Raw genomic sequence first — 18,647 nt, forward strand, 5'->3', positions numbered from 1 at the left:
GGTGATTAGTCTTCTGATTCATTTTATGATTTATGATTTGTGGAAGTGTTTGGTAGACAGATGAGAAAAAATTGTCAATTTTTACATTTCTGAGGGATACAAAGAGAGTAAAAGTTATTTTTTCTCATATTCGTATTATTTAAAATGTCTTCCTAGTTACATAATTTTACTAAATAAAAAGAATACGATTTAATTCAATGTTAATTGTTTTTCCAAAAGTATGCAAGCTCACATGAATACTTGCACATATGGATGTGAAAATGTGTGCGCATGTATTAGACAATCAGGGGATAGCTATATGTACTTGAAAGTTTACAAGTTATGATGGCAGAGAATCTAGAAGCAGTTTATATTCAGATTTTCCGGCAAACAGTTGGCATTTAGGAAAGATAGCTGCAGACCACAGCATCTCAATCATCAAAACTGTGCCTCTAGAACAGATTCTAGTCACAGTGAGGATCAGGAAAATTAAGAAAATGAAAGAACAATCTGGAAGTCCAATCCTAGAAGAAGTTATTTTCTAGAGCCAGGTGGACAAGAAAGGGACTCAAGTATATATAATGGGACAAATATTCAATTAAACTTAGAGACTCTAGAAGAACTATGCCTAGGAAACTAACAAATGCTTACTTATTGGAATTGAGACTCAGAGTTAGCAGCAAGTGTTATTCTTCAAATCTCTTTGAATAAGATTGGAATTTTTTCTAGATACTTGGTATAATTATTCACAATACAGGTGAAAATGAAGCTTTGTTAGTTATCACGGAAGAAGAAGATTGGGAACCAATTAATCTGGCTCTTAATAATTGCAACAAAAATGCAAGACAGAATTGTCTCTGGACCATAAAATTGGCAGCAGTTATTTTTCTCTGCACATGATGAAATTAAGGGATAGAGAGAGGCAGCTATTTCATGTCTCTTAGCTCTGACACCCCTCACCCTATTTGAATACAAATGTTCTCTGAGTGGAACACATTTTTATATCTTGAAATCTTTTAAACTTCACATGTCATAATTAAAGCTGTCATCAAATTTTACATGAAAGGCAGAAATTGGTAAATGTGAGCTGGAAATGTAATTTTTAACTACCAATACACACACACACACGCAGCAATTTTTTGAATAATTAACTGCCCCTAAATGTTCTCCAGGAGTTTCTAATTACAACTTTCAACGGTGAATTTTTTTTAAATCTTGAAATAAATGTACAGAAAGTTGCAATAGTAAAAGTATTTTTTCTTAACTACTCAAGAGCAAATTACAAACATAGTGAATATCTCTGACTTTGTCAGTGAATCATCTGACAAACAATGACATACTCCTACACAGATGATGCAACCATCACAATCAGAAATTAATCATTGATACATTACTACCATGCATTCCACAGACTCAATTAAACATTTTCCATTTTTCCCAGTAACATCCTAAATTACAATAGGGTCCAAACTAGGCACATGTATTGCATCAAGTTGTCAAATCCTCCATTTCCTTCAACCTGGAAGAGTTTCTGTCTTTTCTTGACTTCCTTTGCTTTGCTACCTTTGAAGATTCCATACCAATTATCTACAGTATTGTCCCTCCAATCTGGGTCTATCTGATGTTATCTCATGAGGATATTCAAGCTCTGAATCTTTAACAGTAATACTACAGAGTGAGACTATGTTTTTCCTATTGCATTTTATGAGCTGGTGCATGATATTACCATGTACCAGGGAACAATTTTTTCCCCTGTTTGTAATCAGTTGATGCCATTACTATGGATCCAACGTTCGTCACTGTCTAATATGGGCTATTCACCCTACATCAAATGTTCTACCTGCCCCTACCATGATGTAGTTAACTTCCTTACTCTACTCAGGCTCTAACAAGGTATGTTTCTCAGCTCTTAAAAGCAGATGTCCTTCTCACTCTGCTTCAGTTTGTCCCATCTCTGGTGCTGCTACTACCTATGATCACTTGATTAAGGTGGTGGCCGCCAGGTCTCCCTATTGAAGTTACTTTATAATTTTTTTCTTTTATACTCAGTAAGCATTTGAAATCATGTAGCATACTGCCCCAAACCACTGCTACCTTTAGCCACTAGTATTTGTGTTCACTGATACGTGTTGCCCAGTCATTTCTATGATGATGCCAATGGTGACTTTCCAACTTCCTTTTTTTATTTTGTGTTTAAGACAGTTTCACTCTGTCACTGCAGTGCAGTGGCACCATTTTAGCTAAGTGCAGCCTTGAACTCTTTGGCTCAAATGATCCTCTTGCTTCAGTCTCTGAGTAACTAGGACTAGAGGCATGCACCACCATGTCTGGCTAATTTTTTTTTTTTTTTTTTGTAGAGACAAGATCTTGCTATGTTGCTCAGGCTGGTCTCAAACTCTTGGCCTCAAGGGATCCTCCCAAAGCTTTAGGATTACAGGCATGAGCCACCACTTCCAGCTGTAATTTTATCATCTTTACACTTATTAGTTGAAATTCCACTGTAAAGAAGAGATTTTTCCTTTTTTCTATTCATTTCTTGGTATGATTTTTTTAATTTACACATGCCAGTATTGAGTCATTACTTAATTAGGATTTATATTCATAATAGATTCAATAGGTTATAAACCAGTACTATTTGTATCTTAATACTCAAATTGTCAAATGTTAGGCAGTAATAGCAACTTCAGCTGGGTTCTGTGTCCTTTGACATGTACTCATTATTCTTCGGGTATTTCTTTAGTTTTTGGCACCATAAGATGTACCAAATCATCTTGTACTTTTCCTGTGCCAGCTGTTATCAGCCAATTCTCCAGACTCTAGGTCCTTTGAGTGGAGAATAGTGTCTAGAAAACCAGATCTGGATTCATCTATTGCTATTGAAGTGTTGTTTCTCTCCATACTACTCAGTGAGCAAAACTAGGAAAATATAGTTATATTTTAATATTACATTTGTATGTAAGTATATAAAAATATATCTATACACTCAGATTTATATCTGTATTTACTTTTAAATCTATATGCATGGGTGTTATACACACACATACACACGGTTTTGTATATATGTATGTTCTCATGGATATATATAGATATATATACAATCAACAACATATATAGATATGTTCTCATGGTTTTATATATAAATATATAAATTAATATAAATTCATATGTTCTCTTGGTTTTATATATAATATATAATTAAAATATATTAAATTTTATAATTTATAAATATAATAAAAATAAATTATATATATATAAAACCATGAGAACATATCAATATCAAGTTTTATTTATCTTTCCATGTTTGTAAATCTTTTCTCTAGCAGTTAGAAATTGCCTTCTCATTAAATGGAATATATTTACTTAGGTAATTAGATCCTCTGCATGTAATCCATTGATGCCATTACTCCCTTCACAATGGATCCAACCCTAGGCACTGGTACATACAGGCTATTCACTCTATATCAAATGTTCTGTCTGCCCCTACCACAATGTGGTTAACTTCCTCACTCCACCCAGGCTCTAACACTATATGCTATTCAGCTCTTAAATGCAGATGGCCTTCTCACTTTGCTTCAATGGCTTATCTCATTGCACTATTTCCCCTGGTAGTTGCTTTCTTCCTCATATTCAGGCCTTCTCACACAGAGGTACACATGTGCCCACACACACACCTAGACACTATCCCCACCATCCTTGGGCCCTGATATACCATGCTGGACCACAGGCCAAAATAACTAGATCCTGAGGTCCACAACCACCATAAAAGAAAATTAGCACAACAAATACATATACCACCCGAAGTTACCATATTGGAACACATGGTATAAGAACTTAAAATAAGGATTAAAGTTAAACTCAAAAAGAGAATAAAATATGTTAGCAATATAAAACAAAAATCAGAAAACATTTTAAAAAATGAGAGGAAATAATAGGTATGGAAAATAAGATAACTGAAAGAAATATAGTAATAGGGTGGGTAGATAGATACAGCCATAGATAGATGTAACTGAAGAATAAATTCAAGAGCTAGAAGATCAGATTGACCTTCTAGATCCAGAGAGGCGTAGAAAAGGATAAATAGAGAAATACAAAAGTACGAGTAAAATATACAGTCGATTAAAATGGAGTTCTAGAAACAATATTAGAAGAAGGAAAAAATGGGAGAGAGAAAATGGTCAAAAAAGTAATAATAATTTTTCCAGAAAAAAAGGAAAAAAAAACCACACGTATATATTTTATAGTTAAATTCAAAAAGCACAAAGAGAAAAATTCTAAAAGTTTCTACAGTGAAAAAGGGTTCGATATTAACAGGTGCTACACTAGGAGGAGACAATCTCTCTAGGTTTTAATTCCACCATCCCTGGGGATTTGGAGGAGGAGACATACCCCAGAGTGCAGGTTTGTTCAAGACTTTTTACAACAGTGCCTCACTCCAGTAGATATGGGAAGGCCTGCTAAACCCAATTTCTGTTCCACTATTTAATCTCTCCTTTTTCATAGTTTGTTCATAATCATACACGTTTTTACCTAAGTTTAATCATTACGTATATCTCTCTGTATTCTTTTCACTTACAGCATATCCATGTTTCTAAATATTCTTTTTACATTTTTAACAGCCACACATTTTATCACAATTCTCTAAGTCATTTCCCTGTTTCACATGTTTATGTTGTTTTCTGTTATTGCTATTACAGATTATACTACAGAGAGTTGAATTATTCTTGTAGGATAAATTTCTAAGTACAGGATTGCTTTTGTTATTGCTATGAAGAGTAATATTGCCTTACCAACGGATTGTTCAAATTAGCAATGCCAACAGCAGCAGGTGTGTCTTTAGAGCAAGTTTATTCAAGACTTTCTGATATTTATTATTAAAATTTAAAATGTGATCATGGTGCTGACTCTAGTGAAAATAAACAGACTCTATGCATATTTATTTTCAGATGTGAGTATGGAATAATATAAAACAATATGCATCAGGATCAGCACATGCATGAGGATGTAAATAAAGAGATGAAAAGTAGCTTTTTGCTATGTAAATATGTCATTATTTTGACCTAGTCTTTGCCTAGTGATACATAAGGAAGTCCTTCTGTCAGTTGGAAGGATCCAATGTAAATATAGCATTCTTCTCAGAGCAAAAGATTAGGTTTATTTTCTTTGACCTCTGTGCTTCTTTTAAATAGTTCTAGACCTCGAGATGTAGAAAGCAGAATAAAATAATTTGAAATCCTTCCATACAAATGTTTAAGATCTCTGAAGGAAATTTAAAAGCAGCTCTCAAAAAATAAAGTAAAATATAACCAAATATACAAAAGCAAAACTGAAGACAGAATCAACAATCAGAGAAGTAAGCAAAAGAGTTGGTACTCTGTTTGCCGCATATTCAGAAGTTATGGGTCTTGGTAAAATTAGAGTGGGACTATAGCATCCACACTGGGACAAAAGAGATGATCATGTTCCCAAAGAGGCAGGGTGTTGCAGACCCAAAGAGTGCGCAGCAGCAATATTTATTGTAAAGAGCAAAAGAATAAAGCTTCCACAGTGTGGAAAGTGACCCAAGCAGGTTGCTGCTCCTGGCTGGTGTGGCCAGCTTTTATTCCCTTATCTGTCCCCACCCACGTCCTGCTGATTGGTCCATTTTACTGAGTGCTGATTGGTCCATTTTACAGAGTGCTGACTGGTCCATTTTGCAGAGTGCTGATTGGTGGGTTTACAGTTCTTTAGCTAGATACAGAGCGCTGATTGGTGCATTTTTACAGAGTGCTGATTGGTGCATTTACAATCCTTTAGCTAGACACAGAATGCTGATTGGTGCGTTTTTCCAGAGTGCTGATTGGTGCATTTTTACAGAGTACTGATTGGTGCATTTACAATCCTTTAGCTAGACACAGAGTGCTGATTGGTGCATTTACAATTCTTTAGATAGACACAGAGAGCTGATGGTGCGTTTTTACAGAGTGCTGATTGGCACATTTACAATCCTTTGTCTAGACCCAGAGTGCTGATTGGTGCATTTTTACAGAGTGCTGATTGGTGCATTTACAATCCTCTAGCTAGACAGAAAAGTTCTCCAAGTCCCCACTTGACCCAGGAATTCCAGCTGGCTTCACCTCTCAATCCCCCCTCTAATCACGACACCCCAACAGCTGTTGGGAATTGGGCAATGACCACTCTAGCTACTTCCAGTAAGAATGTGATCCAGTAAAAATTAGTGCATGTGTGTGAAAATGGTTATTGTAAATTTTAATCACTATATTAATGCAAGGTAATATTGTAAGTAGTACAGTATACATATTGTGACGTTTTCTCGCTGCTAACTTAGACAAAAATATATTGAATTTTAGAAAACCAGAAAAGATTCTTCACCTATATCTGTATCTAAAATAAGCAGGAAAGATCATTGAAAGGTGTAAGGTAAAGAGTCTATAAAGTTCACTTATGTGGATCGTTTGGAACAAAGCTTGAGCAGGGAATTAGACAAACAATCAAAACAAACAAACATATGAGCCCAGTGCTATGACAATCTTGAAAAGGCAGAACTATGAGACAATAAAAAGATCAGTGGTTGCTGCCAGGGGTTTCTGGGGAGAGAGGGAGGGAAGGAGGGCTGAAGAGGTGGTGCACAGGGGATTTTAGAGTAGTGAAGCTATCCCGTATGATACTATCATGATGGATATACACCATTATGCATTGTCAAAGCCCATTGAATATACAACACAAAAAGTGAATACCAATGTAAACTATGGACTTTATGTGTCATTATTGGTCTATCAGGGTAACAAATGTTCCACAGTAATGCAAGATGTTAATAATAGGAGGCTTGGGAGACAGAGGGTATTGGGGAACTGTATACTTTCTCCTCAGTATTTTTGCAAACCTAAAATGCTCTAAGAAACAAAGTCTATTAATTGAAAAACAAACGAAAATGCATAGTACCTAAATTAAAAGCACAATGCTCAGACTCTACGTAGATTTACTCATAGATAGATAAGGCACTCAGGCATTTTCTAAAGGCCTCTTTACTTTTGTTTTGGTTATTATTTTAATGGATTCAGTATACGGATTTTCCATTTAATTTGTTTGAAAGTGTACCTTGAGGGAAAGAAGTAATATATTTATTATTACAATTTCTATCTAGCAGTAAGAAGTGACATTTGTAGGCCTGCCAGTATAATGTGGCTACTTTGCATTACCTGCTTTCAAATGTGCCATGCTCTGCCCTGACACTAACACCTGGCTACTCTTAAACCTCTGCTTTAAGGAAAACTTTAAAGATCCTGTGAACCACTTCCCAACCCAGACTTCTCAGGATCCATCAAATACGGGATTAACACATTTCATCTCCAGAGACTATGTCAGTTCTGTGACTAGAGTCCTTCCTGTTTGGTGTCTTTGCCTTATTTGCAAAATTTTTGAATATCAAACATAAACAGAAAAATTCAAAAAGGTAGAGCGATTAGTACAGATTTAGAATAGAGGTAAGGGACCTACAAACTCAGAAATAAAAACTCTAATATATGAAAACATGTACAGCTTTAAGAATATTTATCCTTTTATGTTGTATAATGCTTTATTTATCATTTTTAAAGTGTTAATAAAATAGTGAGTCATACTGGAAAGGTTATTGTCCACATGTTCTTTATCTGAAAATAGAAAAGCATTCAATATTCTTTGGAAATATTTTAATCTATTTTTTTCTGTTTTTAAAAATATGAGTTCCCCACATCTCCTGAAGGTCTTCTCAATGCTCTCATGATGAACACTCATTGTAGAACTCAATGTAAGGTTTAGAAGTGTCTATTTATGGCTCTGAGGTTCAAAGAGGCTAGCAATTGTATCTTAGTCATCACTGCGTAACAAACACCTAAAATAGAATCTGTACAAAGTATTGAATAAATATTTGTCGGAAAAAGTATAACTGGCTATCTGAGAACATTCAATTCTGTGGAATTCTTTTGCTGATGATATTGGATAAAATAAATTTTAAGGTTTAAAAAATACAATAAAATATAAAGAAGCAAAAGTCTTTAAATTTTTATTTTTTCAGAAATAAGAGTCGTCAGCATGCAAGTTCAGACAGTCACAAAATTGAAAACAGTTACTAATGTTGTTGGATTTGTAATGGGCTTGACATCTCCAGGTAAGTAGGGTTGAAAATTTATAATCTACACTTTATATGAAACTATACAAGGAAATGCTCTGTAATAATTTAATATTATACTTAAATATCCTACTTGAGATATAACTAGAAATTTGTCCCACTCTTAGAGTAGATAAATTTGAAACTAAGAAGTGGGTCTTCCTTCTCTTTCCTACCGTATCTCTTCTAAAATAAATCTTAGTCGGGGGAGAGAGAGAGAGAGAGAGAGAGAGAGAGAGAGAGGTGGGGATCTCTCAGGAGGAGATGAAACAAGAAACAGAGTTTAGATTTGGTAAACTGGCATGTTCTAAAAAAGCCAAAGTTTTCTTTTTTCTTATACTCACCATAACACCACTGAAAATTTTATTTTGATCAAGAAGACATTTTAAAGAATGATTTTCTTTTTCCTCACTGCAGCCTCTGCCTCCCAAGTTCAAGCAATTCTTGTACCTCATCCTCTTGAGTAGCTGAGACTACAGGCACCCACCACCAAGCCCGGCTAATTTTTCATTTTGTATTTTTAGTAGAGACAGGGTTTCACCATGTTGGCCAGGCTGGTCTTGCACTCCTATCCTCATGTGATCCACCAGCCTTGGCCTCCCAAAGTGCTGGGATTAAAGGGGTGAGCCAGCATGCCTGGCTAAGAAAGATTTTAGTTTTTAATGATTTTTTTTTTTAAATAAAAGTTTTGGTCTCCAAATTTAGTTGTCCAGTTTTATTCTATGTCCCACTCTGTATCCTTGGTCCATTGCCAAATTTGTCAAATGTCTGCATGGCTTTAGGTTTTCAATGTGCTTATGAAAATGGTCACCTGCAGCTACTCAGGAGGCTGAGACAGGAGAATCGCTTGAATCTGGGAGGCGGAGGTTGCAGTTAGCTGAGATTATGCCACTGCTCTCTAGCCTGGGCAACAGAGAGAGACTCCATCTCAAAAAAAAAAAAAAAAATTGAAATCTTCAGATATTATGTAGGCTAATTAAGAGATTAATAGCAATACTTCCAAACACATCGTAAGGCTGAATCACATATTACTGTCTAATGTGCCTGTTATACAGTGTAGCATGTAACACTCTTTTTATTACACTTTTGCTACTTCTGTTGATTTTGGGACATTTACGCAAGTTCTCCCTGGAGAATTATTCTTTTCCATGACTTTAGTAAAATTGGCCTAGTTGCTAGCTCAGAATTTTAAGATCAAGTTTTACAGCCTCCCAGTTTCTTGCTGGCCAACTCTTACAAAGTTCATGAAAGCCAGTTATTTTCTCCGATTTCTTTACAGTCACAATGTTGAACAACCTCTGATTATAGTTCTTTAAATACAAGATATAAATAAATTTGAAAATTGTTACTATTGAATTTCAACAAATTTCCATCATAAGGTTCTCAATTGAAGCACTAGAATATTTATTATCACTGATACATTCGCAAGTTGTTATTGGAAAACCCAGTTGTACAAATTATACTAGCTTTAGAGTGAAGAAAATTCACTGTACAAAATAAACTCCTGGAATTGAAAAAATCGATTTTACCATTAGTATTCTTCAGTATATGATATGCAGAGTTTCTCAAATTTTGCTTATTTGAATTTTACAAAAAATTGACTATTTAATTAGCCGGGCATGGTGGCAGACGCCTGTAGTCCCAGCTACTGGGGAGGCTGAGGCAGGAGAATGGCGTGAACCCGGGAGGCGGAGCTTGCAGTGAGCAGAGATCACGCCACTGCACTCCAGCCTGGGCGACAGAGCGAGACTCTATCTCAAAAAAAAAAAAAAAAAAGACTATTTACATAACATTTTATTTAATAACTTTGAAGATTAGAAACAATAATCAATTAGCATTGTTTCTTAGATATGGTTTATTTAGAATGCAGACAATTCCAAGCAAAACTTTTGAGACATTTATGGGAGATAAGTGAATAAATTCTTGGGTTTTTAACATTTGCAGACACACTCTCACACTATGTATACCATGAATTAAATCTTTTTTTTTTTTTTTTTTTGAGATGGAGTCTTGCTCTATCACGGGGCTGGAATGTAGTGACACGATCTTCGCTCATTGCATCCTCCGCCTCTGAGGTTCAAGCAATTCCCTGCCTCAGCCTCCCGAATAGCTGGAATTACAGGTGCCCGCCACCAAGCCCAGCTAATTTTTGTATTTTTAGTAGAGACGAGGTTTCACCATCTTGGCCAGGCTGGTCTTGAACTCCTGACCTCGTGATCCACCTGTCTCGGCCTCCCAAAATACCGGGATTACAGGCGTGAGCCACCGCCCATTAATTAAACCTTAATAAAATGTTGGCAGATCAAATCCATTGCCAATTCCTGTGTGGAAAACTAAAATATCTTCATACTGTGGCATTTCTTGTAAGGTAGCTTTCTGGTGTTATAAGTCAAAGGGTGATTCATTTATTCCACCCATGTGTAAGACCTACTTTGTGTTGAGCATTGTTCAAAGTGGCTTACAAACAGTAACTCCTAAAACTCAGAACAACTAAATGGAGATGTACTATTTGTTTTCCTACCTTAGAGATGAAAATACTAAGGCATCGAAAGTTGAAATAAGCTTTCCAAGGTCACACAACTAGTGACTTGCACAGCCTGGATTCTAACCCAAGCAGGCTGGATTCAGGGTCTGAACAATTTACCATCCAGTTGTGGGACATCTGGTAAAAAAATGATATTCAATGAAGAAAAATTTTTGCACAGATGTATGAAGATACTTGCTCAGATAAATTCAGATATGTTATTATTACCAATAACATTCGCTGACAAGAAAATCAGAGGAAACTCTCTGGGGGCATTTTCAGCCTTATTATTGAAAATATTCAGTAATGTACATTGAACAGCTACTTCCATGTGTTAGGAAGGCTCTCCTAGTAGTGTATCTAATACATTTTGAATGATTGCATTAAATAAAATATGTAAAAGGCAACTTTTACAACAGTTGAATGACTTTTGATATTGGTGAATTTTATTTTTTTTCTTCACAGAAAGGAGAGGGCCTAAAATTTTAAGTTGGAAGCTGTAATTAATTCCCTGTGGAATTAATTTATTGCAGAATCCATACATGACTACCACATTTTTAATATTTAAAGCGCCTTCTTAAATGTATTAATAGTTTATTAATATTTACTGAGCATGCATACATTGTTTACAGGGCACTTCCCACTCTGAGTCTGGAAAAATGTTAGATAAGGGTTTCACTGTGGCATATTTACATGCTTCATTAATTAATATTCATGTTCTAAAGGAGAGTAATATGGATCTAAGCTTTGGATTCATAATTGGGTTCAGCAGCTGCCTCTGCTTTGATATACACAGATGTGTGAATTAAGACAGTGAGCAAAAAAATTAAAGTAGTCTTAATTATTAGAGCAATTTTGCTTAATTATTGCTCAGTTGTGCAATAGAATTATGTAAATGTCATTAAATTTATTGTTAAGGTTTACATTTTTTTAAATGGCTCTTGTCCCTTTCTATTTTCAGACCGGTATATCATAGTTGGCAGCCATCATCACACTGCACACAGTTATAATGGACAAGAATGGGCCAGTAGTACTGCAATAATCACAGCGTTTATCCGTGCCTTGATGTCAAAAGTTAAGAGAGGGTGGAGACCAGACCGAACTATTGTTTTCTGTTCTTGGGGAGGAACAGCTTTTGGCAATATTGGCTCATATGAATGGGGAGAGGTAAAGCAAAATATACATTAATTACAGTGCTTTTCTTTTCTTAGTTTGCTAAAGTAGACAAAGTAAAATTTTCAAAGCCAAGGGCAATAATGTGCTTCTCAACACAAGTGTCATATTGCCTAATTTGCTGAGATGGCTTATAATAATAATATGGAATTAGAGCTAGACCACAGCAAACTACGTATGACCTTCAAATATCTTACCCCTATTGTTACCAGACTTACAAACCCTGATACAGTCTAACACACAATAGTGTTTACCTTATTATTGTATTTCTCCTTAGAAGACAGGATGACAGGCACTGGACAAAAAAGGATCAGATGATACTTATTATTTTTCTTTTTCTACACTTTCTAGGAATGATCTGGAATTAGGGAACAGTCTCCTATATTAAATGTTTATTGCCTTAGCATTATATTTTCTCTCTTCAATATGGATATTGAATGTAAAATACATTTTAAAATCCACTTTTTCCTCCTTTTACCACTCCACTCTTTCACCCTTATCTCCCTACCTTCTGTCTCCTACCTGCCTATCTATTGCCTACCTACCTACCTAACCACCTTAGGGAACCTGTATCCAAATGAAATCTAGCATGCAATGAGGTACAGTTAGAATACAACTGAAATATTGGAGAATTTAAGTCTCAAACTCTTCTGACAGACCTGGGTCTCATAAATGCACTGTATTTTTAATGGAATATGATAGCTGATAATTGGATTGATAGAAAGTCTATTTACTTTTGTGATTTGTTTTAAAAAAGAGGTTCAATAGACATATGTAGACCAAAAACACTACATAATTTTACTAGGAAAGCAAGATAATTTAATACTGTAGTTTTTTCACTACTTCAGCTCTGAGGAGAAAAATTTAATAGGAAATTATTTTGCTACATTTTTATTTTTAATCACTCAAAAAAGATAAAATATCTATTAAATCAAAGAAAATATTTAAAAAGGTATAGAAAAGAAGATAGCAAGTATCTTTTTTAATTTGAAGTAAAGAATAGACTTAAAGATGAAAAAATTTTTTCAGTGTAAAATTCATCAAGATTCACACACTGCAAATTGGAATGCTTTTCTGTATGCAAATGAGTGGTGTGAATGTTTGGGCCATATTCAAAAGAATTACTTCAAATGAAAAAATTCCATTGCTTAAAGAATCTTTTTAAGTTGACAACTTTGTAAGTAAGCTGGAAATGAAATAGCTGAACCAACCTCTCAAACTCATATTCCAAATTACTTTAAAGATTGGTAAACAAGTTAAAGAACAGTTTAGGGAATATGTTTGTAATCTATACCATTTTTAATACATCAGAAACAATGAAATTAATGTTTTAGTTTTCCTGTAACAGTAAAGCACATATCTTTAAAATGTCTTAAAGATTCTTTTCGAATTCCAAAGATGTATTTTGCTATTTCAAACTATATTTTAGGTCTTCTAGATACCTATCTAGTAACTGTCACAATTAATTTGTGTTAATTCTAAATTAAAATATATATTTCTGAACTATGTTTTAGAATAGACTAGGCTTGTCTAAATTAATAGTTTCTAAGGTAAACATCTCAAACCCCAATGCATGCAAAATTTTATTAAAAAGTTTAGTTGAGCATCAAGCATCAGAGCCTGTGAGTTGAATCAATGTGGGCTTGCATGTGTGTGAGCGATAGTTTTTGTCAAAGTAAGTTGATATTTTTGTGGTTAATACACATTCATTCTTAAGTTTTTGTGGGGTCATTGTACCTTTTGATAATTGTATATTTTCTTAGTCAATGATGCTAAAAATACAACAACTACAATGTGGGAGTTCACAGGAAAAAAATTTTGTTAATAAGGTTATTCCTATTCAAAACAATTAAGTACCAATGTCTCTGAATGTTTATATATGTATTTACATTTAGCAAGTGATTATACATTCATTTACTGGCATTTTAGGTGACTAGATGGGCAAAGACATATGAGTAATGAAAATGGTAAATAATATACATTTGATTATTGGCCTATAAAATGTATTTTTATAATTTACTGTGTCTCACCAGATTGTTTCAGTGCAATTCATGAAGCCATTTTGTAAACATCCTATTGAAGACAAATTTAGAAAACTGCTAGTTGTCCTGTTTTGCCTACTCATGTCAAATGTAATCCTGAGAATGAAAGAGTTTATGTTAGACTGAAACTAATTTATGCTCTAAATATATTCCCCTGTGAAGGGGAGTGAGGAAAGCCCTTATTGACATGTCATATTGCCCCTTTTAATTTTGCTTGCATAGAAAACTCTGGAAACCCACAGTGGTAGTTAAGAGGATTAGATGATGTTGGTCAATAAACTTAACAATGGAATTTATAGACAGAATTATTAGAGAATTGATTCAATACTGATCTTGATCTTTGAGAAAAATTATAACATTTTGCTAAATAGGTTCTATACTTTAAAAAGTACCATTTCTTCTGTGAAGAATCCTCGTTTGTCAGAGGCTATTGTGGAAATATTATAGATATTGGAGTAAAAGAAGTCATAGTTCAAATTCTCTTTACCATAGAATATGTCATCTGAGGCAAGATTAACTTCCCTAAGACTTGATTCCTCAAATGAGTCTACTAATGCCTATCTTATGAGGGTCTCATGAGAATTATATAGACTAACATATAGACAGTGTCTATGTGGTAGTGTGCTAATAGAAGCTGATATTTCATAGCACTTAAGTAACAGATATTTTTGAACAATATTATGGAAAAATTACTCAAGCTTAAAATTCATCATTTATGTGCGCTTAAAATGTTTACTAATTTTAAATGATTGTCTTTTCAGCCCTCTTTCAGAGGTATGGCTGAATTTTCAACATAAAATATGGATAACAGTGAAAGCATGCAGTATTTATGTTTCTGTCCCTGGCTTCTTTTAGTTAGCATAGTGTTCTCCAATTCCATCCATGTTATCACAAAAGAGATAAGTTTCTTGTTTTTCAAGGCTAAATTGTATTCCATTGTGTATATATAACACATTTCCTTTTTCTATTCATCTGTAACAGAGTGTAGAATGGTGGTTTCAGCCTGGGGTATGGAGGGAACGGGGAGAAAATGGTCAACTTCTATTATATATTGTGTGGCATGGTGAATATACTTAGTAATAGAGTATGATACATTTCAAAATTGTTCAGTAAATTTTATGTGTTCTCATCACAAAAAATGTAACATATTTGGGGTGATGAATATGTTAACCAGCTTAATTTAATTATTCCACATTATATTCATAAATCATAACATCACTTTGTACTCCATAAAATTATATCATTTTAAGCTGTCAATTTACAATGAAAAAAATAAAAATAAAATAGGATGACATTATCTATTTGGCAGGTGTATGAGTCCTTGTAGTCTTCCATTTCATAGTATTAGAAGAAGAAAGATACTTTCCCAAGTTATGACATAATGTAATCTTTTAGGACATTTCTGTAGAACTGCCACCATGACAATTATTTGTTAAATGCTTGCACAAAAAAAAACAGGAAAATAGCAGAAAGACTTAGTGGTCCTTCTTAATAGGATCAGTGGTGTTCAATTTTGTGTGGTAAGGAGCAGAAGAGAAGTGGAAAACTATTATATGGAATCATTTGGTGTAGCTTGTGTGCATGAAATGCATCAGGTTTTTTTTAAGGTAATATTTGCAAGATTACATTGTATTATGGCCCATTTTACTGGTAACACAGGGTTATTTTGTGCAGCGTAGCTCATTGCTTCAAAAGTAAAGGGCTGGTTTTATTCATCACTGAAGTGGTTTATCTATATCTCCCCTCTTATTCAGTAACTCTAAAATTAAGTTGCATTCATATTCTGTAGTTAAATCCATACTGTGTTAACCTTTGAAGAACATTTTCTCTTAAAATTTGACTTTTGTCAGGAACATGCTTTAATATATTTTATTATATATCTAACTCTTACCACTCTTGTTTAAAATCCTTTTATAATCTTTGTGTACACTATTACATAGTATAGGATCACTTTTTTAAGAAAGAAATTATGGCCGGGTGCGGTGGCTCACGTCTATAATCCCAGCACTTTGGGAGGCTGAGGCTGGCAGGTCACGAGGTCAGGAGATCAAGACCATCCTCGCTAACATGGTGAAACCCTGTCTCTACTAAAAATACAAAAAATTAGCTGGAGGGGTGGCCAGCGCCTGTAGTCCCAGCTACTGAGGCAGGAGAATGGCGTGAACCCGGGAGGTGAAACTTGCAGTGAGCTGAGATCACGCCACTGCACTCCAGTCTGGGTGACAGAGCTAGAGTCTGTCTCAAAAAAAAAAAAAAGAAAGAAAGAAAGAAAAAAAAAAAGAAGGTAATTATGCAATATAATAATTTTAAGTATGAAATGAAATGTTCATTATTCAACATCTAACTAATAAAGTAGAATCTATTTATTTGTCTTACAGATAGATCCTTTTTTTTTTGTTATTTCAGGATTTCAAGAAGGTTCTTCAGAAAAATGTTGTGGCTTATATTAGCCTCCACAGTCCCATAAGGGGGAACTCTAGTCTGTATCCTGTAGCATCACCATCTCTTCAGCAACTGGTAGTAGAGGTAAGACAAACCACTATTGTATCAAATGATTATGCAAAACCGACCTTTTCTCTATATTTTGACATTTCTTGATTTTTTCATTTATTTTTAAATATGCATCAAATGTTGTATAAGTGTTTTAAGAAATGATCTATTGCTGACATTTTATCAATATACCTTAACTAATTTCTTATGTTCTGGAATTCTTCACTTGCTACTCTTTTATGGTCATATTTCTAGAAGACATGAGTCACACAGTTATAGAGAAGGTATACAAAAATATATTTTTAAAAAATATATGAATTTAGCTCTCAAATTCCCAATTCTGTAATCTTGACATTTTATGATAAGCCTGGTTACTTTTGAATTTCTTCCTCTTCATTCTTGTTTTAAGTAAATGTGAGACCTGTCCTATCTTTACAACTGCTGTGTAGGCCCCCCGAGAGCAAGAATATAGTGATAACTAAATTTAAAAGATTTAGAAAATATTGTTTGAAAAATTACCTGTGGAAAAAGAAAACATGTTTTCTTAGTATCCTGAAAAATCATATATTTTTTATGTTTCATTGGAGTTACTTATTTTGAAAATATTTTGTCACTTCTCGCCTAATTTAAAAAATTTAGCAGAACATTTTTTCCTGTTTATTAGTAGAGTTCACACTTTTATTTCTGCATTCTTATTATGAATTTCACTACAGATAAAATATGTGCTATTTCTCATTATGAAAACAATCATACCACAACTTAGGGATGGTTTCCTCTTAGCCTCAATGTCTGTTAATTTATATATTGGAACCAATCTTTCAGATGCCCACAGGACTTTTTGGGGAGTATTGCAGGAACTGAACTAGACAAAGAGAGAGGCAATGAACAGAGCTTTGAATGAGCCATAATTTTTGATTGAAGTGTAATGCAAACTAAACATTTTACAACTTTCATAAAGTATTTTTAGCTTAATAGTTTTTATTGGCATTTCCATATGTAGTACAATAAAGAAGACATTATGAAACATGAAGTAGATAATTCTGTACATTTAAAATCAGCCAATCCCCTGTGTGCATGCCTAAATTATATCCATATCTGTAAGTTAATTTCTCCTGCTCTGTGTACTACTTTGAATTCCTTTACTCCTACCTGCTTGGAAGCCTTGCAAAAGCAAATGAGCCTCGGATGTCTCCCTTGGAAATTTAAGATATTTCTGAATGAGTGGATTATAAGGTAGAAGAAATAGTGATCTCAAGTATCCAGAAATAGAGGAGGGTTGGTTTAAAAATGTGTCATTTTCTTATCGTGTGTGACAAGTTTTATATTTTGAGAATCTTGAAAGATATTTAATCATTGAAATTGATGGGTAAATAGAAATAGTTAATTATTAAGAAGTATTAAATCTACATAATGTTATTTCTGAGAATATAATGCTATTTAAAATATCTTTGCACATCTTATAACAGGACTAAAATATTTCAGTATCTAAACCTAATTATGTGAGAATACAGTATGGTTTCTCAATCACAAGTGATGATTGATGATTCACAAATGATGACGTACATGTCAACATGTACCTCACTTTTTGGAAGAGGAATCTTTTCTGTTCTATAATTGAAAATGTTTGCACACTAACAAATGTAAAAATGAACTGGAATGTGTATAGAAAATATTTTTTTTCTGTTGAGATCGTGTGTCTGTGTATGTATGTGTTCATGTTTCACAGAACAATTTAGAAGGTTAGGAATATCACAACTTCAAGCAAAGGATAGCATTATGTAATTTCAATCAATGGGGATTACTTATATATATATGTCTAATTTTATGGAATGAATATAAATAACTTAATATATATTCTCATACAAAAATTTAATATCACATTTTTAAAAAATTATATATTTTTAAAACTCAAATATATAAAGGTTTATACATTTTATAAACAACTCAAATCTATAAGTGTTAAGAGATACGAAGAAAACAAAACTTTACAGTAATTTACATGATTTAATTAAAACAATTCACCAGTAGTAAAAATTAAAAGAAATACATAAAGCCTTTTTTTGAAATAAAAAAGAACTAAAATGATAACATCCAGAACATATGTAACTTCATTTCCAATACTGAAGATTTTATCAATGATTAAGGACAAAGATATTTCATTAATTTGTTTAGATTTATTTTTCTTTGAGTGTACACACAGTAGTGGGATTGCTGTGTTGAATGGTAGATTTACTGTTAGTTCTTTGAGGAATCTCCATACTGTTTTCCCTAGAGGTTGTACGAATTTACATTCCCA

At 33.7% G+C, this 18,647-nt stretch overlaps 1 protein-coding gene across 23 annotated transcripts in view; it reads left to right on the forward strand.

Moving 5' to 3' along the window:
• Positions 1 to 18,647, forward strand: part of NAALADL2 (N-acetylated alpha-linked acidic dipeptidase like 2) — a 1,369,567-nt gene that overhangs the window by 1,014,390 nt on the left and 336,530 nt on the right. For all 23 annotated transcript variants that reach the window (XM_017006077.3, XM_047447876.1, XM_017006075.3 and 20 more), the window contains 3 exons: positions 8,030 to 8,122; positions 11,608 to 11,813; positions 16,268 to 16,387. In XM_017006077.3, coding sequence (XP_016861566.1) covers positions 8,030 to 8,122; positions 11,608 to 11,813; positions 16,268 to 16,387 — 419 coding nt within the window. The remainder of the gene's footprint in view (positions 1 to 8,029; positions 8,123 to 11,607; positions 11,814 to 16,267; positions 16,388 to 18,647) is intronic.

This window comes from Homo sapiens, chromosome 3 (genome assembly GCF_000001405.40).
Source record: "Homo sapiens chromosome 3, GRCh38.p14 Primary Assembly".
NCBI classification, from domain to species: domain Eukaryota; kingdom Metazoa; phylum Chordata; class Mammalia; order Primates; family Hominidae; genus Homo; species Homo sapiens.